Source organism: Homo sapiens, chromosome 10 (genome assembly GCF_000001405.40).
Source record: "Homo sapiens chromosome 10, GRCh38.p14 Primary Assembly".
NCBI lineage: Eukaryota > Metazoa > Chordata > Mammalia > Primates > Hominidae > Homo > Homo sapiens.
In genome coordinates this window covers 132,029,689-132,055,961 of record NC_000010.11, presented here as the reverse complement: position 1 = coordinate 132,055,961, position 26,273 = coordinate 132,029,689, and the positions used below count along the sequence as shown (strand labels likewise).

At 51.4% G+C, this 26,273-nt stretch overlaps 1 protein-coding gene across 7 annotated transcripts in view, besides 3 other annotated features; it reads right to left on the bottom strand.

The window, feature by feature from the left end:
- Positions 1-19,598, bottom strand: part of JAKMIP3 (Janus kinase and microtubule interacting protein 3) — a 148,495-nt gene extending 128,897 nt beyond the window's left edge. For 6 of the 7 annotated variants that reach the window (NM_001392043.1, NM_001392055.1, XM_011539676.3 and 3 more), the window contains exon 1: positions 19,554-19,598. The gene's annotated coding sequence lies outside the window, so the exon portion shown is untranslated. Of the gene's footprint in view, positions 1-19,223; positions 19,286-19,553 lie in introns of those variants that run through there. The other variant, NM_001392044.1, reaches the window with a different exon arrangement.
- Positions 10,862-11,379: an enhancer, noted in NCBI's record as "H3K4me1 hESC enhancer chr10:133858087-133858604 (GRCh37/hg19 assembly coordinates)". NCBI's record gives its function as "activates a minimal SCP1, AML or CMV promoter by ChIP-STARR-seq in naive H9 embryonic stem cells {active_cell/tissue: H9 hESC(naive)}" and the evidence as "EXISTENCE:reporter gene assay evidence [ECO:0000049][PMID:30033119]".
- Positions 11,380-11,897: an enhancer, noted in NCBI's record as "H3K4me1 hESC enhancer chr10:133857569-133858086 (GRCh37/hg19 assembly coordinates)". NCBI's record gives its function as "activates a minimal SCP1, AML or CMV promoter by ChIP-STARR-seq in naive H9 embryonic stem cells {active_cell/tissue: H9 hESC(naive)}" and the evidence as "EXISTENCE:reporter gene assay evidence [ECO:0000049][PMID:30033119]".
- Positions 16,039-16,876: an enhancer, noted in NCBI's record as "H3K4me1 hESC enhancer chr10:133852590-133853427 (GRCh37/hg19 assembly coordinates)". NCBI's record gives its function as "activates a minimal SCP1, AML or CMV promoter by ChIP-STARR-seq in naive H9 embryonic stem cells {active_cell/tissue: H9 hESC(naive)}" and the evidence as "EXISTENCE:reporter gene assay evidence [ECO:0000049][PMID:30033119]".

Sequence of the window (26,273 nt, the reverse complement as noted above, 5' to 3'; positions counted from 1 at the left end):
CCATCCGCATGCACTGTGGGGAGCTCCAGGGAAAATGACAGCTGGAATTCCTCTTCAGAATATCTGAACAAGACTTGAGGCAGGAAGGGGGCAGAAGCCCAGGAACCCCATGGGGAGAAGGCTAATTACTGGGCTCTCTGCACCTCCAGGTCGCCTGATGGCACAGTGGGACACAAACCCCGGGGGAGGCAAGGGTGAGAGGGTGGTTGAGCCAGGACACCACGGGGCAGCTCATTAGTCTCCTGTTGACCAAGTTCAGATAGAATGTTAAGATGTCGGGATAAAAAGACAGTGAAGTGAGAGCAGGCATTAATTAAGACCGAGGCACATGCCAACTGATATGGCTCAAACCCTGCTTGCCGGCGGGCAAACTGCGCACACACATCCATCCTTTGCCTCTCTCCTTCACTCCTGCTTCCCAATCCCATTTCATCATGGCCTGCGGGCTTCTTGGCAAGACCTGCTCAGTTTTAATTTCTTTCCAAACATTGAAGAAAAAAAGATGTTGCATTTTAATTTTCTTATGCCATTCGCAAATCATGTGCTCTTAGCCACTGTTTTCGAGACCAAGTACTGATCAATGCTGGTGGCCAACGTGACCTGCCTGCATGAACTCTGCATGTCATCGTAGAGGACATGTTTGTCATTGATACTTGGACAATTTATTTGAAATCTGCTTCAGTCTTTCTGGGGTTTATTTGTAAAGGTCTTGAAAAGAGTTCTATTGATAGCAATTTGTTTTCTATGCCTCCCAGAGAAAGGCACTACTCCTGTTGAGGAAAGAATCTGCTGTGCACCTCCCAGTTAAGAGTCCAACTTTAGAATCACTGCTCAGGCCCCTGGAGAGAGAAAAAGAACAAAACCAACCCCAGCAGCCCTAAGAAATCTGCGCCCCCTGAGCCCCCAAAGCATCCAACACCTTCCAAGTGCACCGGAGGATCCTCGGTGTAGGAGGGCAGGACTCTCACTATCCCCAAGCGGAGGGTCCTCGGTGTAGGAGTGCAGGACTCTCACTATCCCCAAGCGGAGGGTCCTCGGTGTAGGAGTGCAGGACTCTCACTATCCCCAAGCGGAGGGTCCTCGGTGTAGGAGTGCAGGACTCTCCCCATCCCCAGGCCTCAGGGCCAGGGCTGGCTCAGGAAGCTGGAACTGCCTCTGTGAAGAAGTGGGCAGCTGTCCCCGAGCCCAGGGGAACAGCTTCGGTGCTGTCCGTGGTGCTGCTTCTCTCTATTCCTGACTTCAGCTCACTGACCACACCTTAGTCTTATCTGTTAGCCCGGTCTGAAATCTAGTGGTGACCCCCTCCTCCCTTAATCTATGGCACTAATCCTGCCTCTGTCTGACTCTTGACCTAGGTCTTGGCACCAGCCCTAGCAGAGACTGGTTCGTAGTGTGGGCTACCCAGGGGTGGTTCCGGCCCAGACTCATACACACCCCACCTGTACCACACCTTGTCTCCCCCCATATCTGCCAAGCTAGCCCCTAACCTCTGGCAGAGCCTCCCATGTTGGCCTGCACCCCTGCAGGTGAGTGATACCAGAAACACGAACCAAGAAGTTTTTCTCTGAGCTTCTTCACAGAGGAAGCTTCTTGGTGGTCTTCCTACACACGCCCTTTTTTTAAATTCTTGGTAAATTGAAGTTATTGGGGAAAAAAAGAGGGTACCCAGGCCTTTTCCAGGCATGCCCCTTACATTCACAGAACCTTCCCTGAGCCTGCCAGCTCCTCCGAGCCACAGTTTACACAGACACTGGGAAGGGAAGTTATATGAAGAGGCCTCATTCCATGTCCTCTTCCAAGTTCATGCAAAGTTCCCCTGGTCCATCCTTGGCCATTCCAGAAATGAGCTGAAAACTGACGTGGTAGCCCCATGTTCACAGGCCTGCTTTCAGTGGCCAGCATTTTTTTTTTTTTTTTTTTTTGAGACAGAGTCTCACTCTGTCACCCAGGCTGGAGTGCAGTGGCACGATCTCAGCTCACTGCAAGCTCCGCCTCCAGGGTTCATGCTGTTCTCCTGCCTCAGCCCCCACCCGAGTAGCTGGGACTACAGGTGCCCACCACCATGCCCGGCTAATTTTTTTTTGTATTTTTAGTAGAGACAGGGTTTCATCATGTTAGCCAGGATGGTCTCGATCTCCTGACCTCGTGATCTGCCCGCCTCGGCCTCCCAAAGTGCTGGGATTACAGGCGTGAGCCACCACACCTGCAGTGGCCAGCATTTTGTTCTCACTGCTCCACTCCTCCAACAGCGCCAAACCCTCTTCAAACCATGGAAACAATGAGGACTGGAAGAGCTCTCTCAGGTAATGGCAAGCGAGGTGAGGTCAGAACTAGAGTTAGGTTAGGGTTGGTTGGGGTCTGAACTCACCTCCCACTTAAGGTAACAAAAGTGCTGAGAGGCCACATTACGTGGGACGATGTAGACTGAGAGACATGAGCAGGTTACTGAAGAACCAAAGCAGTGTTCGCCTGAGGGCATTCACCAGCACCCAGCCTGCACCTGTGTTCCATCACCTTGTGGGGATGAGGGAGATGAGAGACAAAGACCATGTCTGCTTTGGTGTGGGGTTCCACAGGACAGTCTCCCCTGTTCAAACCCTTAGGGTAAGAGGAAACAGAACTATACAACCCACACTCTGCCTCACCCCAATTCCATAGGACTGCAGAGAAGCCTGCCTTGGTAGGCAGCAGAAGAAGAAAAGGAAAAGGAAGGAGAAACCCCAACTTTGAGGGTGGTGACAGAGACTGATCAGCAGATGACCTCAGCAGACCAAGGGACTCCAGACTGAAACCGGGGCTTGAAGTGTTCCCAACTGGAGAGCCTCCAGCTGCCTGGCAGGAGCAACTGTGACCCTCTCTGGGGGAGGCACATTGATCCCAGGTCTCAGAGAAACCCCACAAACATGTCCTAATATTTAGCCAATGAGAACCAGGAAACCAGGAAACAAGGCACATGAGAAACAGCCAGGATACAAACAATTAAAAGACCCAGACTTTTTGAACATTAGAATTGACAAATACAGTTCACAAAACAATTCTATTTTTAAAACTAGACTTTTTAGAGCAGTTTTAGGTTCACAGCAAAGTTAGCAGAAAGTGCACAGAATTCCCACATACCCTTACTCCCCACCACATAAACTTTTTCTATTTCTTTGAAGAAATAAGTTACAAGCTTGAAAATAACTTCATGGAGTAGAAAACTATAAAAGGTGATATACCAAATTTGAATAAAAAGAACACTCTTAGAAATAACAAATGTAATAAATTAAAACAAAAGGCACAATGGACGCTTTTGGTGGCAGATTGGACAACAGATGAGAGGACGGATGCTCTGAAGATAATTGAGAACAAATTACCTGGAATTAAGTACAAAGAAACAAACAAAGAGGCAGAACCCAGAGAAGAAGCTACGAGAGATAAAAGATAGAATGAGTAGGTCTCTCAGAAGGAGAAATGAAGGGGAAAACTTGCCAGATGCAAAAGTTGAAGATATACTGACAGAATTCTCTAGAATTGATGAAAGACAACAATCTGAAGATTCAAAATAAGTCAAAATCTAGATCTACATAAGAAAACTCAAGGAGGAGAAGGAGCAGGAAACACAAAGACAAAATAACAAAATGTGCCAAGGGAAAAGCTCAAGGTCAAACGAAGACATTTAGACTAACAGCTGACTTCTTATAGGGACAATGGAAGCCACACAACAATGGAATCATGCTTTTGTTTTGTTGTTGTTGAGACAGGGTCTCACTCTGTCACCCAGGCTGGAGTGTAGTGGCACAATCTCAGCTCACTGCAGCCTCACCCTCCCAGGCTCAGGTGGTTCTCTGCCCCTCAGCCTCTTGAGTAGCTGGGACTACAGGCATGCACCACCATGCCTGGCTAATTGTGGTTTTATTTTTTGTAGAAACAAGGTCTCATTATGTTGCCCAGGCTGGTTTCAAAATTCTGGACTCAAATGATCCTCCTGCCTCTGCCTCCCAAAGTACTGGGTGTGAGCCACCACACCTGGCTGGGATAATGTTTTAAATATGCTTTTAGAAAAATAACTGCTGGCCAAGCGTGGTGGCTAACACCTGTAATCCCAGCACTTTAGGAGGCTGAGGTGGGTGGATCACTTTGAACTCAAGAGTTTGAGAGCAACCTGGGCAATGTGGCGAAACGCCATCTCTACAGAAAAATATAAAAATGAGCTGGGTGTGATTGCCGATGCCTCTGGTCTCCTACTACTCAGGAGGCTGAGGTGGGAGGATGGATGGCTTGAGCCCAGGAGGTCAAGGCTATAGTGGGCTGAGATGGTGCCATTGCACTCCAGCCTGAGCAACAAAGGGAGACCACATCTCAAAAAGAAAAAAAAAAAAGTAAAAATAAAGTCAAAAGACAAACAACCTAATTAAAAAAATAGGCAAAAGAATCCAACAGGCACTTCACAAAAGTAGGTGTACAAATGTCCAACAGATGTAAAGAAGCCCCCAGAATCATGAGCAGGCAGGGAAATGGTCATTAAACCCACAAAGACAGGCAGGTACCCCCCCACATAACCAGAACGGCTGGAATTAACAAGACCAACCATGCCAGGAAAGACAGGCAGGTACCCCCCAACCAGAACAGCTGGAATTAACAAGACCAACCGTGCCAGGAAAGACAGGCAGGTACCCCCCAACCAGAACGGCTGGAATTAAGACCAACCGTGCCAGGAAAGACAGGCAGGTACCCCCCAACCAGAACGGCTGGAATTAACAAGACCAACCGTGCCAGGAAAGACAGGCAGGTACCCACCCACCAGAATGGCTGGAATTAACAAGACCAACCGTGCCAGGAAAGACAGGCAGGTACCCACTCACCAGAACGGCTGGAATTAACAAGACCAACATGCCAGGAAAGACAGGCAGGTACCCCCCAACCAGAACGGCTGGAATTAACAAGACCAACCATGCCAGGAAAGACAGGCAGGTACCCACCCACCAGAACAGCTGGAATTAACAAGACCAACATGCCAGGAAAGACAGGCAGGTACCCACTCACCAGAACGGCTGGAATTAACAAGACCAACCGTGCCAGGAAAGACAGGCAGGTACCCACTCACCAGAACGGCTGGAATTAACAAGACCAACCATGCCAGATGTTAGCAAGGATGCAGAACAACTTTCATCCAAAATGGTGCATGTGGTGTTTTGTTTTTCTTATCAGTCAAAATGCACACCTACCTTACAACCCAGTGGTTCTACCCCTAGAAGGTTCTCCACAAAAAATGAAAAAATGTGCCTTGTATGGGAATGATCAGGGTGGAAGCTAATGTAGGCTGTTACCATAATCAACCCCCCCCAAATCTCCTTCCTAAATTATGTAAAATAATTTTACAACCTCAAGAAATCCTTCACCAAACTACACCCTTGGCATGACTTGAAGATGAAGCTGGAGAGTGCCAAAAACTGCTAAGTAACTGAGTAAAAAGAGAAAAAGCAACAAATCCAGGCCCCACATCCTCCCGCTCCCCACCCCACTACTTCCCGCCCTCTGGTGGCAAAGGCGACCGGCAGAAACCACAGGGACCCAAGCTGAGCGATGAAGGGTCCATTGGACACCACCACAAAGAAGAAAGCTGCTTTCCACGTGGGTGAGCCAGAGAGGTGCCTGGGCAGGGCCTCTGTCACTGCCGGAAAGAAGCCTCAGAGAACCCAAGCAGCCAGACCCTGTTAACGGGCAGCGCGAGGATCTGAGGGCCAGGAAATGGGCTGTGAGCTCTTCAGAGAGGCAAACCCGGCTCAGAGAGGCAAGAGTGATGCAAACAGGCATGCAATTGAAAACATCAGTCCTCCAAACACAGAACTTCCGGGGAGAAAAGAAGGCAAAAAGGAAGAGAGAAGCTCCCTTTGGCAATCAGGTAGAGGAAGAGAAAAGAAGAAAAAGAGAGAGAAAGAGATAAGGTCCTGAGAGACAAAATATGACCATGAACTTGGGAATATTCACAAACCTCCATCATCAAAACGAAACAAAAAAACCTCACTAAAATGTGTGGACATCGCCAGGCTGACAGAAAAGGGATTCATTAAGCTGGGAACCTTGTAAAATATCCCAATATCAAAAATAGCCAAAACAAAAACGTCACAGAAGACTATGGAAGAAAATCAGGAAAAAGAACTGATACAAATTCCCTCCCTGTTAAAAACCACCATAGGGCTGGGAAGGGTGGCTCACTCCTGTAATCCCAGCACTTTGGGAGGCCAAGGTGGGAGGATCACTTGAATTCAGGAGTTGGAGGCCAGCCTGGGCAGCATAGTGAGACCTCCCCCACTTTTAAAAAAGAAAAAACACAAGGCAGAAGAAACCTGTACATCCAAACAGAACCGGGCACACGCAAACAGCATTCAAGGATATGGAAAAACACCCCGATTTAGGAATTCAACAGCTTAGGGCAAAAAATCAGAGAAATGAAAAAAGAATGTATTGAACTCAGGAAAAAAAAAAGCATCTCAAAAATGAGAAATAAATTGTAAGATGCCCAAGGGAGAATAACACAAACGACAATTTAATAAGAGGCAGTTGAAGAATAGGCAAGGGGAGAAACAAGAAAATAAAATGACATAAAGAGAAAAGTAACAGGTCAGCAAGAAAGAGGAGGAAGTGGAAGGTGAGGAGGAGGGCAGCACTCCCAGCCCTAAGGAAGGGAAGCAAAGCCGTGGGTCAGTGCTCATAGCTATAGCTGTGCTCCCGGAAGACCGTCCCTACATAGAAACAGACCCGAATCCACGGTGCAAAGAGCTCGCCAGCCGCTAGAAAATCAACCCAGACCACCAACTTTGAGACATGCTGGTGAAACTATTCCATTTCAGAGCTAAAGATAAAATCCTCAAGGCTTCCAGGCAAAAAGGTCAATTAACTTGATGGAGTCGGCCGGGACCAGCAGCAGGCTTTCAGGACATGCAGAGAAGTAAAGAAACAATGTGGCAACATTAAAAAGAAAAAAAAAAAGCTCCACGAAAGAAAGCATAGACTAAGGATTTTAGAAACAGTCAAGCCCAGGCCGGGCGCGGTGGCTCACGCCTGTAATCCCAGCACTTTGGGAGGCGAAGGCAGGCGGATCACGAGGTCAGGAGATCGAGACTATCCTGGCTAACACGGTGAAGCCTTGTCTCTACCAAAAAATACAAAAAAAAATTAGTCGGGGGTGGTGGCGGGTGCCTGTAGTTCCAGCTACTCAGGAGGCTGAGCCAGGAGAATGGCGTGAACCCGGGAGGCGGAGCACTCTAGCCTGGGTGACAGAGCAAGACTCCATCTCAAAAAAAAAAAAAAAGAAAAGAAACAGTCAAGCCTGGAATTTCTGATGGTTCCAGAAAGTAAGGAAATACTTAACAAAACACACACACACACCGCAAAACCATGATGAGCTGGTCAACAGAACACAGCAGCCAGCCAGGAGCTCCTGAAGCTCAAAGCTGGAGTGATTTGTTTAACAAAACAAATATTGTCATTACCGGATTTTAGCCCATGGAATAAGTATCCACGTGTCCCTACTGACATAAACAAACAGACAAATGGGGAGAAGGAACAGCCTTTCCTTACAGCAAATCGCAGGGAGTGGAAAAGCACGACAGGCCAGTGCCTGGGAGCCCGAGAGCACCCGGTGCCAAGGCCAGGAGCAGAGACTCAAGAACCAGGCCCAAGAAGCAGGCCCTGCACAGTCTCAAAGCAGCGCTCGGAGAGCCATTAACTACGGAGGAAAGCTCTGAACAGGGACTTCCCAAAAGGAAGCCCCTTCCCCGAGGAGAAACCAGCAGACACAACCTCAGCCCCGTGGTCCAGCAACATCGCCCTCAACATCACACCTGCTCTGCTCCACGCGGAGGATGCACCATCCATGCTATTCCTACCAAAATGCACGACCTCGTTCCCGTCACGAGAGAACCCCAGCTAAACCCACACTGGGGACCCTTTATGAAATAACAGACGAGAAGTCTTCAGAAGGACCAAGGCCACACAATACAAGGAAAGACACAGGCGGCGCCACAGCCGGAGGAGCCCGAGGAGACACACACAGCTCCGCGCACCCCAGCTCCATGCACCGTCAGCTCGCGGGGGGCGGGGCGGGGGGTGGGGAACACACAGTTCTGTGCACTGAAAGCTCGTGGCGGGGTGGGGGGACACACAGCTCCATGAGGGGACACTCAGCTCGCAGAGGGCGGGGCGTGGGGTGGGGAACACTCAGTTCTGTGCACTGAAAGCTCGTGGCGCGGTGGGGGCGCACAGCTCCGTACACCGCCAGCCTGCGGGGGGCGGGACGGGAGGGTGGGGACACACAGCTCCGTACACCGCCAACTCGCAGGGGGGGGTGGGGACCCTGGGTCAGGAGGAGGATGTCCACGGGAACCTGTGGGATTAGGACAGGTGTGTGGCTTGGGTGATGATGTTGTACCAATGTTAGTGTCCTGGTTTTGGCAAATGCACTGTGGCTGTACGAGATGCTAGCTGGGAAAGAAAAAGAACTTTATCTGAAGTATGCAGGTCCTTTTAATGATCAGGCCCAGAGACACATTAAAACGAAGCAGCAGTCATGCCCTACTCCTCCACTTTGAGCTATGCGTTCCTCTCTGGAAACTGCTATTGCCACGGTAACTATCAATTAACGCAGTAATGCTGCACCAGACACTATAACCCATGGCCTGTAGCTTAGCTATGGATAGCCAATGCCAATCAATGTTATCTCTGCAAACCAATGAGAATTTCTGACAAACAACTTTATATCAGTCCACTCCCTGCCCCGCCTTTTTACCTTAAAAAACCTGCTTGTGGCTGGGTGCAGTGGCTCATGGCTATAACCCCAGCACTTTAGGAGGATTGCTGGAGGCCAGGAGTTCAAGACTAGCCTGGGCAACATAGTGAGAACCTGTCTCCACACACAAAAAAATGTTTTTAAATAGCTGGGTGTGGTGGCACCTGCAGTCCCAGTGACTCAGGAGAGCTGGGGCAGGACAATTGCTTGAGCCCAGGAGTACAAGGTTGCAATGAGCTCTGATTATGCCCCTGCACTCCAGTCTGGACAACAGAGCAAGACCTCAACTAAAAAAAAATCCAGTTGTAACTGCTGCTAATCACAGTGTATATTAAGGGCAACTTTAATCAGTGTTCCCAAGCGGCAAGTTCCTCAAGCTTGGCCCAGATAGCTCTCTACTTGGGTTAATTTTGCCTCAGCTTCTTCCTCTTAGGTTGAGAAAACCTTAGGAGAACCTGGGTGAAGGGTATACAGAATTCTCTTCTGTTTTTGCAACTTTTGTGGTAAATCTAAAATTATTTTAAAACTTAAAAGTTCATGACAGCTTGATTTAAAAGAGCCTAAACTAGGAGAATGGATAAATAAGCCGTGGCGGATGCGCACAGCTGAACAGCACGAGGCGGTGAGGTTGGGCGAGCTGGACACACACAGAAATGGAAGACCCAAGACGCGATGCTGAGAACAGAAAGCCAGGTGCAAAGTGGACGCCCTGGATGGTTGTTTTTTTTTTCTTTTTGAGACGGAGTCTTGCTCTGTCACCCAGGCTGGAGTGCAGTGGCGCGATCTCGGCTCACTGCAAGCTCCGCCTCCCAAGTTCATGCCATTCTGCTGCCTCAGCCTCCCCAGCAGCTGGGACTACAGGTGCCCGCCACCACGCCCAGCTATTTTTTTTCTATTTTTAGTAGAGACGGGGGTTTCACTGTGTTAGCCAGGATGGTCTTGATCTCCTGACCTTGTGATCTGCCCGCCTCGGCCTCCCAGAGTGCTGGGATTACAGGCATGAGCCACCACACCTGGCCCCTGGACGGCTTTATCTATGTGAAGTCAGAGAGTGGCTGAATGCATCTGTGGTGGGAGCGTGGAAGCTGGGGGTGTCAGGAACCTTCTAGGCTGATGGCTATGTTCTGTAATATCTGCCGGGTGTGGGTTACACAGGTGTGTGAATTTATCAAAACTCACTCAAGATCCATGCATTTCATTGTGTGTAAATTTTACCTTAAACTGAATATAAAGAGTGTGTGTATTTTTTTTTTTTTTTAAGACAGGATCTTGCTCTGTCACCCAGGCTGGAGTGCAGTGATGCAATCTCAGCTTACTGCAACCTCTACCTCCCTGGCTCAAGTGATCCTCCCACTTCAGCCTCCTGAGTAGCTGGGACTGCAGGTATGTGCCACCAAGCCCAGCTAATTTTTTTCCCAGATGTTTTGTAAAGATGGGGTCTTACTATATTGTCCAATATCGTCTGGAACTCCTGAGCTCAAGAGATGCTCCTGCCTCGGTCTCCCAAAGTGCTGGGATTATAGGCATGAGCCACTGTGTCCAGCTAAAGTATATTCTTGAAATAAAGAATTATAAACACATATCATACTTTTGTATTCACTTCCAAGTGAGCTGCAGACCTCAGTACACTTCCCTCTCGACACCTCAGCTCACACCGCGGGCTCTCCTTGAGGGCTGGAAGACACAAGGGCCTCAGCACAACCACATGTGCCCTTCACTAATTAGGGAAGCTGCCTCTCCTGAGCACCCACCTGTGCCAGGTGCGGGTAGAGGGTGATGCAGTGCTAAGTCAGCCTCGGACCCTCTCCTAGAGGAGCTTAAAATCTGCCGGGGAGACAGAGACGCGCCCAAAATCACATCAGGAAGAAGGGAGAAGCCAACATCCAGGCAGCCAACAAGCATGAAACAGGCTCAGAATCCCTGCTCACCGGGGAAACGCAGACCCAGCTGCAGCGAGCCACCTGCTCACCCGTGAGGATGGCCGGGATCAAAACGGAACAGAATGGAAAGGGAGCGTTGTGAGGATGTGGGGAAACTGGAACGCTCGTGCACGGCTGGTGGGAACCTGAACTGAGGCAGGCACTGTGGAAAACGGGATGAAAGAACTGAAAGCAGAATCTCGGACGGGCATGTGCACATCCCTGTTCATAGCAGCATGATTCGCAAGACTGAAACATGGAGCCCCCCAGTGTCCACCCGCGGATGATGAGTCAGCAAAACGCACATCCCTTCCGTGGAGTAGGATTCAGCCTTCAAGGAAGGAAATCCTGACGCGCATGCAACACGGTGAAGCACGCCAGTCACACACACGCACAAATACCATGATTCTACTCAGCTGAGGCCCCTAAAGGAATCAAAGACCAGTGGGGGTGTCAGGGGCTGGGTGGGGGGTACAGTTTCCGTTTGGGAAGATGAAATCGTTCTGGAGGTGGTTTGCACAGCACTGCGATTGTCCCTACTCTGAGCCGCACACCTAAAAATGGTTCAGATGGTGACTTGTATGTGTATTTCGCCACAATTTAAAACAAAACCTCCATCCTGAGCGCAGCATGTGGTGGCGTCCTGCTGCCCTGAGGAAGAGCCCGCGCCAGGACCCCAGCCTGCTCTAGTCCCAGGTGCACCCCAGCTCCCTTGGGCCACACTGGCTTCTCCCACTCCTCCTGCATCCTCCTCTGCACCGGCCGCACCCTCCTCTGCACCAGCCATAACTGTTTTCCCAAGCAGCCTTCCCTGACCTTCCCTACTAGACTGGTGAGCTCCCGTCACGAGCTCTTGCAGAATTGTGACAACTCGTTGGTGGCAGTGGTCACTGCTAAGATGACCTGTTTGCACGACGGCTGAAGTTGTGTCTGTCTCAGCCACTGGCCACTCCCAGCAGGCAGGGACTGTGTCTGTGTTGACTACTCACCCCAGGGAGGTCCACGATGCCTGGACCAGGAGACGTGTCTAGGAAATGTTTGCTAAGGGCACTGGAGCAGGAGCTGTGGCGAGCCACCTGGAAGGGCGGCCCTAAGGGCAGCTGAGGGCCCAGAGAAGCCCCCCCACCAGGCATCGGGCTGGTCCCAGGGGAGCAGCATCAAGGCGGCAGCCTGTGTCCCCAGGTGGGCCACAAGCGCCACTGCACACACGGTATCTGAACTGCCTGAGAGCCTACTGAACCCCGAGGTCTGTGCACTTCCTGCCCTCTTTGGATGGATTTTGGGACCATGCTGGGATCAAACGCAGGCCCAGCAGGATAAGAGGAAAGATCTTGAATCTCATTGCTCAAAAAGCAAAAAACTCAACTTGATTCAATTCCTAGCTTATTTCCAATCCTTATTCTCCTCTTGGGATTTTAATTCAAATGTTAAGGAAAACAACCCAGGAGATCATTAACACCGACGCCTGAAGCCCAGGGCGGGGCAGAGAATTCTTCCTCCCCACATGGTCCAGCTGATGAAGAGCCAGGGCTGGAAAGGGCCCCGCTCCCCCCAGCCCTCCTCGTCATGCTGTGTCCAGGTGGAAAACATTTCCCTCGGGCTTGCCTGTGTCCACGGGCTCCTGGACCCCCACATTGGTAAAGCCCAGGCGCCTGTGGGATTCTCATCAGAGAAATGCTTTGCTGGAATCCTGACTAGGACTGAAAAACATTTAAAAACTAAAACAGGAAAGAAGTGCTTTGGGGGCAACAGCATCCAACCCCGTTTCCCCCTGGATTCTCTGCGGTGCTGCACCAGACTTCAACCTAGAAAAGCCCAGGTTAAAAACCATGTGTGGATAATACAAAAGGTACAGTGCAGATTTGTATAACACAAACATACACACACACACACAAACGGAAAGGGCCAGGTGCAGTGGCTCATGCCTGTAATCCCAGCACTTAGGGAGGCTGAGGTGGGAGGATCACTTGAGCCTGGGAGGTCAAGGCTGCAGTGAGCCCACATCACACCACTACACTCCAGCCTGGGTGACAGAGTGAGACTCAAAAAGAAAAAAATTAAAAAGTAAAATGCAAACAGCCTATAAAATACATTGACCAGCAGAGGGAACAAAACACAGCCACATTCAGAAATAAACTATTACAAAGCTTCCCAACCAGGAAAAGCCTTTTGTGTTTTTGAGAGAGGATCTTGCTCTGTTGCCCAGGCTGGAGTGCAGTGGTGTGATCTCAGCTCACTGCAACCTCTGTCTCCTGGGCTCAAGTAGTCCTCCCACCTCAATCTCCCGAGTAGCTGGAACCTCAAGAACGTGCCACCATAACTCGCTAATTTTTGTTTTTTTTTTTTTGAGACATGGGGTCTTGCCATGATGCCCAGGCTGGTCTCGAACTCTTAGATTCAAGCAATCCACCCACCCTGGGCTCCCAAAGGAAAAGCCTTTTATAGGACCAGCCAAGTAAAGCTGATACAAAACAGCTCTTCAAGCACCTGGTTTTCTTAACTATTTCTAATACCCTAATGATCCAGGGTGAGTTACAATGGCAGAGAGCTCTAAAACCAGAGGAAAGGAACAGACGGGCTCTCCAAAGCTGCTCCAGGATGCTATGGCCTGGCTATCAGAGGACACAGGCTCCAGCCCTCTCCCCACGCAGTCCCTGGTTCCTGAGAGCCTGCACTCATCCCTGCAGCCAGGATGGGGAGGGAGGAACTCCAGGTGATCCAGGGTGGCCGCACCATGAAGAGGAGTGAAGATGAAAAGAGAAACACAGCAGGCGCCGTGGCTCACGCCTGGAATCCCAACATTTTGGGAGATCGAGGCAGGCAGATCATTTGAGCCCAGGAGTTCGAGACCAGCATGGACAAGAGAGAGACCCGTCTCTACAAAAATACAAAAATTAGCCAGGCGTGGTGGTGCAAACCTGTAGTCCCAGCTAATCAGGAGGTTGAAGTGTGAGGATCACTTGAGCCCAGTAGGTGGAGGCTGCAGTGAGCCATGATCATGCCACTGCACTCCAGCCTGGGTGACAGAGACCCTGTGAAAGGAGGAGGAGGAAAGAAGGAAGGAAGGAAGGAAGGAAGGAAGGAAGGAGCGAGCGAGCAAGTGAACTAGCGGGGCACGGTGGCTCACACCTAAAATCCCAGCACTTTGGGAAGCTGAGGCTGGCAGATCACTTGAGGTCAGGATTCAAGACTAGCCTGGCCAATGTGGTGAAACCCCCACTCTATTAAAAATACAAAAATTAGCCAGGTGTGGTGGCACATGCCTGTAATCCCAGCTATTCGGGAGGCTGAGGCACAAGAATCACCTGAACCTGGGAGGTGGAGGGTGCAGTGACCCGAGATGGCACCACTGTACTCCAGCCTGGGCAACAAGAGCAAAACTTTTTCTCAAAGAAAAAAAAAAGAAAAGAAAGAAAAAAGAAAGAAAAGAAAGGATAGAAAGAAAAGAAACACAAGCAGCCATGGAAGAGGCCTGAGGTGGGATCCCAGGCAGAGCAGGTGTCTGCTGGCACAGGCTGGCCACGCGACAGTTCAGGCCAGCTATAACGGACGATGAAATTCTCTTAGCAGCTCACATGCCCACCCAGCCTGGGCCACGGGGCCAGCGTGCTATGTTTCCAGCTTTCCTGACCGTGGTGCTCAATGATGCCACCAGCCGCAGGAAAGGAGTGGGGGTGTCGGCCTTGCTGGCCCAGCCCCAGCCAAGTCTCCCATACTCCCAACACCAGAAGATGCACCTCCTAGGGCGTGGGGACACGCGGCAGAGGGGCCACACTGGCTCCTGGTGTTTACCGCTGTGCCCGTCCGGGGCAGCAGCTCCCAGAACACAGCCCATGCTGCCGGGATCCTGCATACAGCCGCCCTCATCCTCTCACCTCCTCTCAGGGTTCCCCACCCTGGCTGTTCCCACTGGCACCTACCACCCACTCCAGCCCACCCGGACCCAGCCAGCTCTCCACTCCCTGAAACATATGCACTCCAGTTTGTCTGATCCACAGGAAAGCCTTAAAATAAACAGGTGATGAATGTTTATAGAAAATGTGGTGTCAATTAGCTGGACATGGTGGCACACACTTGTAGTCCCAGCTACTTGGGAGGCTGAGGCATGAGAGTCGCTTGACCCCAGGAGGCAGAGGTTGCAGTGAGCTGAGATCACACCACTGTACTCCATCCAGCCTGGGTGGCAGCAAGACTCCATCTCAAAAAGAAAGAAAATGTGGTGTGCACATCTGACGAATGCCGCTCAGCCGCGAGACACAGGTGCTTCTGCCATTTGCAGCCTGGATGGACCTTGAGGACACCATGCTAAGTGAAATAAGCCAGGCACAGAAAATCGAGTACTGCATGATTCCAGTTCTATGAGGTGTTGAAAATAGTCAAATCACAACAATAAAGACTGGAAGGGAGGCTTCCAGGGCTAGGAAGTGGGAGCTCTCAACAGAGAAAAGTTTCTGTTAATGTTAAGTGAGAGGAATAACCTCCAGAAATCTGCTATTCTGCGCTGAACCTGCACCAACCACCAAGGGTCATTGACACTTTAAGTGTCGTACACTTAAAATTTAAGAGGATTTATTTCATGTTAAGTGTTCTTATCTACCACGATAAAAAAAAAATGAAAATGAAAAAAAAAAAAAGCTCATCGGGAGTGGTTCACAATTGTAAAGGATTAAAATCAACCCAAAATACTTTATAAGGAACTGATTAAAGAAACAATTGAATAGTAAAAAAATGCTCATGAATATGACATTTTTAAAAAGCAGGATATAAAATGATTATAGCATGATCCAAACTCTGTGTGTGGCTGGGGGAGTCTGCAAACCCATCAGCGGTCAGGAGGTCAGCAGGCAGCCAGCAGATGTATAGATACGGAGCGAGGGGAGGGCCCTGTCTCGGTCAGCTCATCCCCATCACAATATGCCACAGACCAGGCAGCCTAAACAAGACATTTCTCGCAGTTCTGGAGCTGGAAGTCTGAGGCCAAGGAGCCGGCCGGTTTGGTTCCTGGTGAGGGTCCTTCCTGGCTTACAGAGCTGCCTCTGTGCCCTGTGGAGAGAGCCCGATCCCATGTCCCTTCTTGTAAGGGCACCCATCCCATCCTGGGGGCCCACCCTATAACCTCATCTCACCCCGTCAGCTCCCAAAGGGCCCACCCCCCCAATACCATTACATTGGGGGTCAGAGCGCAACCTGTGAACTTGGGGGACACAATTTGGTCCACAGCAGCACCTAATGACTTACAGCAGTCACCTGGGCACGTGTTAGTTATGAGTACTGATTGTCTTCATCCCAGCCTTCTGAAATTTTAGAATTTTTATAAACAAAACAAAGAAGCACGAGCTTGTGAAGGAACCCAAGTGCTTAGTGTCATGGCAAAGACTTGGGGAGCAGTGAGACCTCCACACACAGCGTGACTTGCAGAGGCGCCCCAGCACGTGAGGCGTGGAGGTGGGGGCAACCCAGAGAGGCTGTAAGAGCCAAGTCAATACAGCGGCTGGAGGCCGAGAGAGGAGGCCAGAAATGAAGCTTCCCCCATCTTCAAGACCTTTGCTGGATGCCGCTGTAGGGAATCGGGGGCCAGCCAGATTTTCAGACCTCACTGGTCTGACAGCCCAGCGCTATGGAGGGAGTGGGGGTCGCCTCTCTGGAGTGCACAGATGTGCTGCTGTACTAAGAGACCTCTGCCAGGGAAGCCAGTGAGCCACAGGCAGGTGACATGCAGCAGGAAGTCCTGGCACGTGTAGAGGGCCAGGCCTCTCAGCCTTGCAGGGACCACGCTGTCCAGGGGCCATGGGAGAAAGGGTCTAGCCCTTGGCCTTACTGGGAAACGGTGGGTGGCCTGACTGAGACTGTTCTGCTTGGGGGTTGCAGGTATGGGGGGATGTCAAAACCGGAGGGGGCAAGGCAGGGCAGACGGGGGCCTGGTGTGGGATCCGGGCCCAAGCTGAGGTGACTAAGTTCCTGAATCACAGCTAAGAGACATAGGTCCTGGCTGGGCACGGTGGCTCATGCCCATAATCCCAGCAGTCTGGGAGACCAAGGCAGGAGGATCACTTGAGATCAGGAGTTCAAGACCAGCTTGGGCAATATACCAAGATCTTGTCTCTATTAAAAAAATGTTTAAATATTTTTAAAAATGAGACAGAGGTTCGAATGCTGAGTTTGCAACTCCACACTCCTTAGTTCTGGTGATTTTAGGCGATGTCTGTACCTCCTCCCTTGCTGAACTGCATGCTCCTTGATGTGGCCTGAGCCTGGTTCCCCGTGTGGCCTCACGAGCGGCTCCGCTGGGTGAAGGGTGTGGCCTCCACCTGCCTCTGCAGCTCTTCCCAGCCCATCCCGGGCTTCTCCTGAGCCCCTGCAGCCCAGCTCTTGTACCCTAACAGGGGGACACCCACACCCCGTAACACAGGTAAAGAAATGGAACAGAGCCTGCCATACATGCAGCAAGTATGTTTATGATGGTTTTTTTTTTTTTTTTTTTTGAGACAGTCTCATTCTGTTGCCCAGGCTGGAGTGCAGTGGCGCGATCTCAGCTCATTGCAACCTCTTGCCTCCTGGGTTCAAGCAATTCTCCTGCCTCACCATCCCGAGGAGCTGGGATTACAGGCACACCATGCCCAGCTAATTATTGTATTCTTCATAGAGACAGGGATTCACTATGTTGGCCAAGCTGGTCTAGAACTCCTGAACTCAGGTGATCCACCCACCTGGGCCTCCCAAAGTGCTGGGATTCCAGGCATGAGCCACCACACCTGGCCATGGTTGACTATTTTGATCATCGCTATTTCTTTTGTGTCGTCTTTTTTTAAAAATTAGCTTATTGTTATGCCATTTTCCACAAACTCCTAGATCTTGCAAAAGTGTCATGCATGCACACTTGTGGGACCAAACCCCAGAGCCTGGAACCTGCTGACTATGAGCTGACTGCCGTGGGGGTTGTGCCCTGTGCGTGGGCTCCCTCGGGGCACCTGGAGTGTGAGAAACGCTGACTGCAGGGCATGCTGAACTGAACCCACCTGAACGGAACCCACCACCAGTCCTCTTCATCTTTCCCTTTCAAAATCTGGATTTCAGTGGCTATCATTGGAAATTGACAATAAAAGCCAGAATCATGTCTGGGCAGCTATTTTCAATATAAATAATGTCCTAAAACAGGAAGCTTGTCCATGGACAGATCAATTTGCTTGAAAAATCCTACTTAAAACAAACTATATCCTCAATGAACTCCAAACTATAACTTGTTGTTACATAAGTTGCTTCTTGCCAGGCATATTACTTTGTAGTAGAAAGCTGACCAGGCCAGACAAGGAGTGACATTCCCGGCTTCTTCCAGATTTGTGGCAAAGGCTGCAACCGACTCGGGGCCAATTGGTACTGCTGTTCTCTACAGCCCCAGAGCAGCCCTGGGCCAGGCCCCCGGGGCAGGGGTAGGGGGAAGCCTGCGCTGCGGCCCAGGCAACTGAAGCCCAAACCAGATATGCGCTTGGCCAGGCTCTTCCTCCTGAAAGGGCTGCAGGGTGCCTGCCCGCCTTCCGCTGAGCCTCCTGGAGACACTCCGCCCTCCCCACTCCAGTTTACTAAGGGGTCAGCAGAGCAGCCCGACTTGCCCTTTACTTGAGGGAGGGAATCCTGCCCCAGCTGCCAAAGCCAGCACTGATTCACCACCAAATCCAGCAGGGGTCTTTTGACCCCTGCGTTTAATCCTCAGCCCCTGCAGACACACGGCCTGGCACTTTCTCCTCCTGCCACCCACCCGCAGGTGGAGGGAGGCTTCCCCAACACCTAAGAGCTCCCTGGCTCCCTCCATGACAACGGATTTCCTAGGTTCTGCAAGCGAATCCCAGGTCTGCGCGTCACCACCCCATTTCTTACATTTGCAGACAGCTTGCCTAGGAGAGCCTCCTGTGCATTCCAGCACCTCACCAAGAAAACAGCCAGCCAGACCTCAGACGGGGGCAGGAGGGAGCCGCTCCAACTCCCAGCGGCTTTCCACGAGAGGCAAGGTCGCGGGTACACGCAGAGAATATTTTCTAGGAAAACTGTCCAGGCCGGCGCCTCCTCCCGACCTCCACCAAAGCCTTTATTCTCTGGCTTCCCGTATCGTCAGCATCCCACGGCCACGCTGGCCATCCCTGAAATGGGGGCTGTGAAATTTAAAAACCAGACACCAACATAAAAATAATCGCACGGCGCCCCTTTCCGCGGGAGGCACAGTCGGAGACACGGAGATGCGGGTCCCCAGCCCTGGCCCAGCACCTGCGCGGGCCCCACCCAGCGGCCGCGTCACGCCAGCGCCGAGGCCTGTGCAGGGCAGGGGGTGCCGTGGAGAGGACCCGCCCACGGGGGGACCGCCGGGAGAGGCAAGGAGGACCCCGCCCCAGACAGGGGCGTCTCTGCCGCGGGACCCCCTCCCTCGGGACGTCGCCCCCCGCCCGCCCCACGGCCGCCAGGGCGCCCGCGTCCCGGACGCACCGTGCCAGACGCAGCGCAGAGGCCCGGCCCCCGGTCGCGGCCCCACCCCGGCCGCTGCTCACCGAGGCTCCCCGCGAGCGACTCTGGGCGGCGTCCGACGGACCGGATCGGCCATGGCAGAGGCGGCGGGCGGGGGCGCGCGTCACCGTCACCGCGGGCAGGAGCCCCGAACCCGGCCCGCCCCGCCGCCCCCACTCCCGGGCGGTCCCCGCGGCCGCGCTCCTTGCTCGGCGACGGCCCCCGCCGCGATCCTCCCCCACGCAGTCCCGGTCTCCGCGGAGCCGCTGTGCAAGCTCCTAAAACAGGGCTCGGCGTGGCTGAAAATAGCCCGGGGGCCGCGGGGCGCGCGTAGGGAGCCGGGCACCGGGCGCCGCCGGCTTAGAGGGACTCACCCGCCGCTCAGGCCGATCCCAGCGCCATGCGCAGCACGGGGGAGCTGCACGCGTGCGGCCTCACCCTTAACTCTTGGCGTCCCATCCCCGAACGCTGCCTCCCCTGGCCTGTTGCGAGAGAAATGCTTTTTGGAGTCTGGCATTGAGCAGATGAAGCAGCTGCTGCGGATTGAGAGCCACAGTCTCAGCGCTGCGCCGGGGCCTGGGATCGCAGCTCACCACGGCCGCGTGCTCCGGGCTGGGACTTCAGGGTAAAGCGGGAGGAAGGTCCGCACCCACTTGTTGGTGTTCAGCCCACGTATAATCTCCATCCACGCCACCACGGCCACACGGATGCGCGCTTTGTGAAAGGCTGGGATAGAGCAGCAGAGCTGGCGACCTCTGCAGAGCTGGGAATCCCCTGAACCACGCCCCCCACCCCCACCCCCACCCCCACCGAGCTTGCAGGTGCAGGAGGAGTCCTGGGGAGCACGCACGTGGAGCACAAAAGCCCCCTCACCTCCAGACCCCTCCACACGGTCTGTCGGTCCACATACCTCCTCAACTCCAATCCTCCAAACCTGTGCCTTCTAAGCCCCTGATCATCAACTGTCCCTCCAGGTAAAGGAGAGGATAATCAGGTGTGAGGCTTGAAGTTTGGCCAGCTGCATGGAATTCCTTTCCACCACGTCCATCAGGGCCAGCTGGAGTAGGGCTGTGATGCTGAGCCCGGGCCCGCCGCACCAGCCTAGTATGCAGAACCATCTGTACACCAGGCTCCATTTTTCATTCCTCAGCTTGTTTTAGGGAACTCCCCATAAAACCAAAAATGCAGGTGGAGGAGCAAGGATTGCAGAGGGAGTGGGTGCCTTTGGAGGGCGAGCCTCCTGCTCATGTGGTGTCTCAGGGTGTCTCGGATATGCTTGAGGACAACCTCGTGTCAGTCTGTTCGGGCTGTCATAATGGAAGTGTATTTCTCACGGCTCTAGAGGCTAGAAGTCCAAGATCAAGGTGCTGATGGGGTTGGTTTCTGCCGAGGACTCTCTCCTTGCCTCACAGAGAGCCGCCTTCTCTGCAGGTCCTCAGGTGGTCTCTCCTGTGTGTGCTCATGTCTGGTGTCACACCTTTTCTTATGGACACCAGTCCCATTGGGTCAGGACCCACCCTGATGACCTCACTTAACCTTGATGGTTACCTCACTTCCTTAAAGGTCCTGTCTGCAAACGGGGTCTAGGCCTTCAAAATATGAATTTTGGGGGAACACTATTCAGTCCATAACAAACCTCACATGTACTGCCTCCATGTTTATGATAGTTTTGTTGGACAGGCCCATCTCTATGGCTTGGTGGATCAGACAACACCAGGTACTGATTGACAGCTTATGTTGCATGATCTTTTAGTGAATTGCAGTGAAATGTGCTGTCTACTCAACCCATGAGCAAGCCAGCAGCTGTTTCTCAAAAGGGAATGGTGACCTGTTGATGAGGCGATCACTCAACAATACTCATCAATAACCATGATTGTGGTTGTTCTGTCAAGGTTTGCCACAGGCTCCACACAACATTCTTTTAAGAGATGAGGTCTTACTATATTGCCCAGGCTGGTCTTGAACTCCCTGCACTCAAGTGATCGACGTGCCGCAGCCTCCCGAAGTGCTGGGACTACAGGTGTGAGCCCCATGTGCCTGGCCCTCCATATGACATTCTCACACTCCTCAGACACTCAGATTGCCATGGGTTCACCACGTCATAGGGCCAAGTGGAAGAAAGGCTTGTCTGGCAGCCTAGTCAGCAGGCCAGCATTTCTCTTGCTCTGAACCTCACTCAAAGTTCCTTGTTAAATAGGAAAGCACACCCAAATTTTGTATATATGGCCTCTGTGTTAGTCCGTTCCCACACTGCAATAAAGAAATACCCAAGACTGGGTAATTTATAAAGAAAGGAGGTTCAACGATTCACAGTTCCACATGGCTGGGGAGGCCTCAGGAAACTTACCATCACAGTGGAAGGGGAAGCAGGTGCGTCTCACACGGTGGCAGGTAAGAGAGAGATGAGAGAACGAAGCGGGAAGAGCCCCTTATAAAACCAGCAAATCTCGTGAGAACTCACTCAGTATCACAAGAACAGCATGGGGGAAAGTGCCCCCGTGATCCAATCACCTCCCACCAGGTCCTTCCCTCAACACCTGGGGATTACAATGCAAGGTGAGATTTGGGTGGGGACACAAAGCCTAACCACATCAGCCTCCAATATTCAAAGAGGTTTTAATAGTGACACGTACAGCTTATGGCAGACTGCCTCTCCCTCACTTTGGAGGACTTTCTGACATGTTCCCATCCTCTGAACCCCAGAAACGATGCTGAGGGGGCACTCGAACTTTCATGGCTATCTTCTCCCCTCACCTGGCACCCGTGTGCCTTTAGCCAGGTGTCCAGGGTACTTGCTACTTCCTGTTCATCAGGTCCTGTGGCTGTGATGCTTGCAACACAGCTGATCAGCATCATTTGGTGGGGATGACAAAGGCCGCCCTGGACTAAAATGTGGCACAGAACAGACTTGGTTACTGTTGAATCAAGACTGTGAAGGTGTACTGATGTCCCTACAGTGTGAAAGTGAACTCTTCCTGGTATTCTGTGATTGCTGGTACAGAGAAAATAAAATGCATTTGCCAGTTCTATAGTCACATGCTAGATGCCGGGAAGTGAACTGATTTGCTCCATTGTTTCAATCAACATGCCCCATCCGCAGTAGCCATTCAATTGAGATCACGACTTGACAAAGCTTAGGATAACTCACAGTCCTGCCCCATCATCCATCTGTTTCCACGCAGGCCAGAAAGTGAATTAAAGAAATCACCACCCCCAAATGTTTCGAGATTTTGATGTGGCACTAATCTACGTGATTCTCCCCAGGTAGGCAACAGTGCTTTGAGGTTACTGTTGTGGTGTCGGGCAGGGGTCCCACAGGATCCCAGGAACTTTCCACCTTACGGCCATCTTTCCAGAATCAGGGAGCAGATCTGGGAATCCCATCCATCACTGAATATTTCTGTCTATTCTGACTCTATTCTGAAAAGCAAAGGAACAACCACAGACTAGAGTCACGGACTGGGCCCCCTGGGAGTTGGACTCACAGCAAAACTTGTGTTCATTCTGCTCGTTATAGACCCTCACTCTTGGCGGGCATGGTGGCTCACACCTGTAATCCCAGCACTATGGAGGCAGAGGTGGGCAGATCGCCTGAGGTCAGGAGTTTGAGACCAGCCTGGGTAACATGACAAAACCCCGTCTCTACTAAAAATACAAAACTTAGCCAGGCGTGGTGGCACGTGCCTGTAGTCCCAGCTACTCGGGAGACTGAGGCAGTAGAATCACTTGGGAGGCGGAGGTTGCAGTGAGCTGAGATCGCGCCACTACACTCTAGCCTGGGCAACAGAGCAAGACTCTGTCTCAAATAAATAAATAAGTAAATAAACCCTCACTCTGCCCAACAGGTCACTGGGTTCTGTCTCCTGGTGATCCATGTTGGTTCTGAGTTAGTGTCCAGTCATCTCCCACAGCTCTGAATACGCCCCTTTACCCGGCGCCTGGTCTAGGGAACCTGGCTGCAGTTTCTTTAGGAAAAGCTGGAGGAACTTTCTAAAAACATGTTTCTGGTGCTAGCATAGGATCCTTCCCCAGGGACATCAAACGTTTCCCTTACTGAAGGGACTGTGGGTCTGTGAACGGATTCAGGTCCTGGCGTGGACTGAGGAACTGGAACTTCTACACAGTGACTGAAGGCTCTGGCTCTGTTTGCTTAACTTAGAGTTTGTTATTTCAATCAAATGTGTCAAATAGGCCAGGCACGGTGGCTCACGCCTGTAATCCCAGCACTTTGGGAGGCTGAGGCGGGTGGATCACCTGAGGTCAGGAGTTCGAGACCAGCCTGGCCAACACGGTGAAACCCTATCTCTACTAAAAATACAAAAATTAGCAGGGCATGGTGGCACATGCCTGTAATCCCAGCTGCTTGGGAGGCTGAGGAAGGAGAATCACTTGAACCCGGGAGGAGGAGGTTGCAGTGAGTGGAGATCGTGCCATTGCCCTCCAGCCTGTGTGATGGGAGCGAGACTCCATCTCAAAACAAACAAACAAAAAAAAAGTGGTAAATAGACCCTTAGTGGGCTTCCCATCTATTTCACTCTTGGCAACTGCGTGGCAATTTACTACCACAAAACACTCCTGTGGCTCAAGCCGTTCTGATCACCACCCAATTCTTCTGACAATTAAGGTAACTTCACCTGTGTTGCTTTGGCAGTTAAGAGCTGTTACCCGACCTCTACCTCCACAGGGTCCAACTCTCCACTGAAATCAGGAAGCCCATTTGCAGCAATCCCTCTACCTTGGCCTCCAGAGACAGCCACTGAGGTGCCATCCAGGGATTCAGGCACCTGCCTCACTGATGGGTGTCTTATTGTCCTGGGGAGGGGAGTGCCTCTGTGCCCTCCAGGGGGAAATGGGGGTGGCAAGAAATGAATCCACCCCCTCAGCCAGGCACAGTAGTGGTACACACCCATAATCCCAACACTTTGGGAGGCTGAGGCAGGAGGACTGCTTGAGCCCAGGAGGTCAAGGCTACAGTGAGCTATGATCATTCCACTGCACTCCAGCCTGGGTGTCAGAGCAAATCCCCATCACTATTAAAAAAAGAAGAAAAATTCGGCCAGGCACGGTGGCTCACGCCTGTAATCCCAGCACTTTGGGAGGCTGAGGCAGGCGGATCACCTGAGGTCAGGAGTTCAAGACCAGCCTGGCCAACATGGCAAAACCTTTTCTCTACTAAAAATACAAAAAGCAGCTGGGCATGGTGGTGGGCGCCTGTAATCCCAGCTACTAGGGAGGGTGCAGCAGGGGAATTGCTTGAACCCAGGAGGCAGAGGTTGCAGTGAGCCGAGATCGTACCACTTCATTCCAGCCTGGGTGGCAGAGCGAAACTCCATCTCAAAAAAAAAAAAAAAAATCCACTTCAATGCACCTGTGTCCCTGAGCATTCAGAGGCTTTCGTGTACATAAAGGAATTGCTTGCCTCTCAAATGCTTTCCACTTAAGTTACCACTGAGCTCAGATCTCACTGAAACAAATGCCCATTTGGAACTGCTCCCATTGTTGGAGTTTGTACGTTGAGCGCAGAATCTCTGCTTACTCACAAGTGAGCAAACCCGCGTCGAGAAAAATGTGCGCCCAATAGCAGCACAAGAAAGAGGAAACGGCACTGAGTGAGAGTCAGCTGAGAAACAGGAGAAGTAGGATACGTAAGTGGCCTCAAAGCACCTCTTCCCAAGGTGCTTATTGACAGCAAATGGGGATATGGTATATTCACAGAGGGGAAACCTGGCAGGCACCCGTTTAACCGAGAAATTAACATTAACAACATCTGTAAGAGGGCAAATAACTATGAGCCTCAAAAGATAACTGAGACACAATTTCATTTCTGAGGTATTTCTGCCCAAATTCATACCATGAGCAAACATCTGAAGTTGAGGGACATTGCTGCAAAATAACTGTAGCCCAGCGCTCAGAAAAATATCAAGATGCTGAAAAGCAGGCTGAGGGGCTGCTCTGAATTCAAGGAAAGCAAAGAGACGCCACAAAAGGCCAACTCGCCATCCAGGAGTTTGTTTTCCTATAAAAACATTAGTAGAATGTGGAACAATCTGTTTGGTTTTTTTTTTTTTTTTTTGAGACAGCGTCTTGCTCTGTTCCCCAGGCTGAAGTGCAGTAGCGCAATCACAGCTCACTGCAGCCTCATCCTCCTGAGAGCAAGTGATCCCCCCACCTCAGCCTCCCGAGTAGCTGGGACTACAGGTGTGCACCACCACACCATGTCCAGCTAATTTTTAAATTTTCTGTAGAGACAGGTCTCCCTGTGTTGCCCAGGTTGGTCTTGAACTCCTGGGCTCCAGTGATCCTCCCGCCTTGGCCTCCCAAAGTGCTGGGATTACAGGTGTGAGCCACTGCACCCAGCCTAGAGGATGTGGGAAAATTTGATTAGCAAATATTATACCAATATTAATTTCCTGATTTTAACAGTTTTTATGTGGTTACATAAGAACATCTTGTTTTTAGGAAATACACAATAAATTATTTGGGGAAAGAGGGCCTCATGTTTATAATTTACTTTCAAATGGTTCTGAAAAAAGTATATGTACATAAAATGGTATAAACACACATGTGTACACATGCATAAATACATCGTTATGAAGTAGATGTGGTAAAATATTTGAGGAATCTAAGTGAAGTCTATGTAATAATTCTTTGCCCTATTCTTGCAATCCTCTGGAAGTCTGGATCACGTCAGATTACATTTTTTTTCAAGTTCTCATCCCCGTCCGTGGTCTGGCACCCTCAGAATCCATTTCCTCATAGGTTCCCCACAATTTTGCCAAAATACATGATCAGCTCCTGCAGCCCCTCTGATGTGTGAGCTTCTCTGCCCAGGTTTGACTTTGTCATTGGTCCCTGCAGCAGGCTAGTCTCTAACCACCCTTCTGGCCCAGAACCACAGAGAAGGTAGGAGAGGGAACTGCAGCCTCCTGGCCTGTGACGACCACAGGTGAGGTTGCCGTGAGTCTTCAAGCAAAGCAGGACCAGTCTCCTCGGGGTGTTCACAATTACCCAGACCCCGGCAAGGGCCACCATTCCAGCCCAAGACCCTCACACTCTTTGCATTTAGCTCTGTATTATCCTGTGCTTCACAGGGG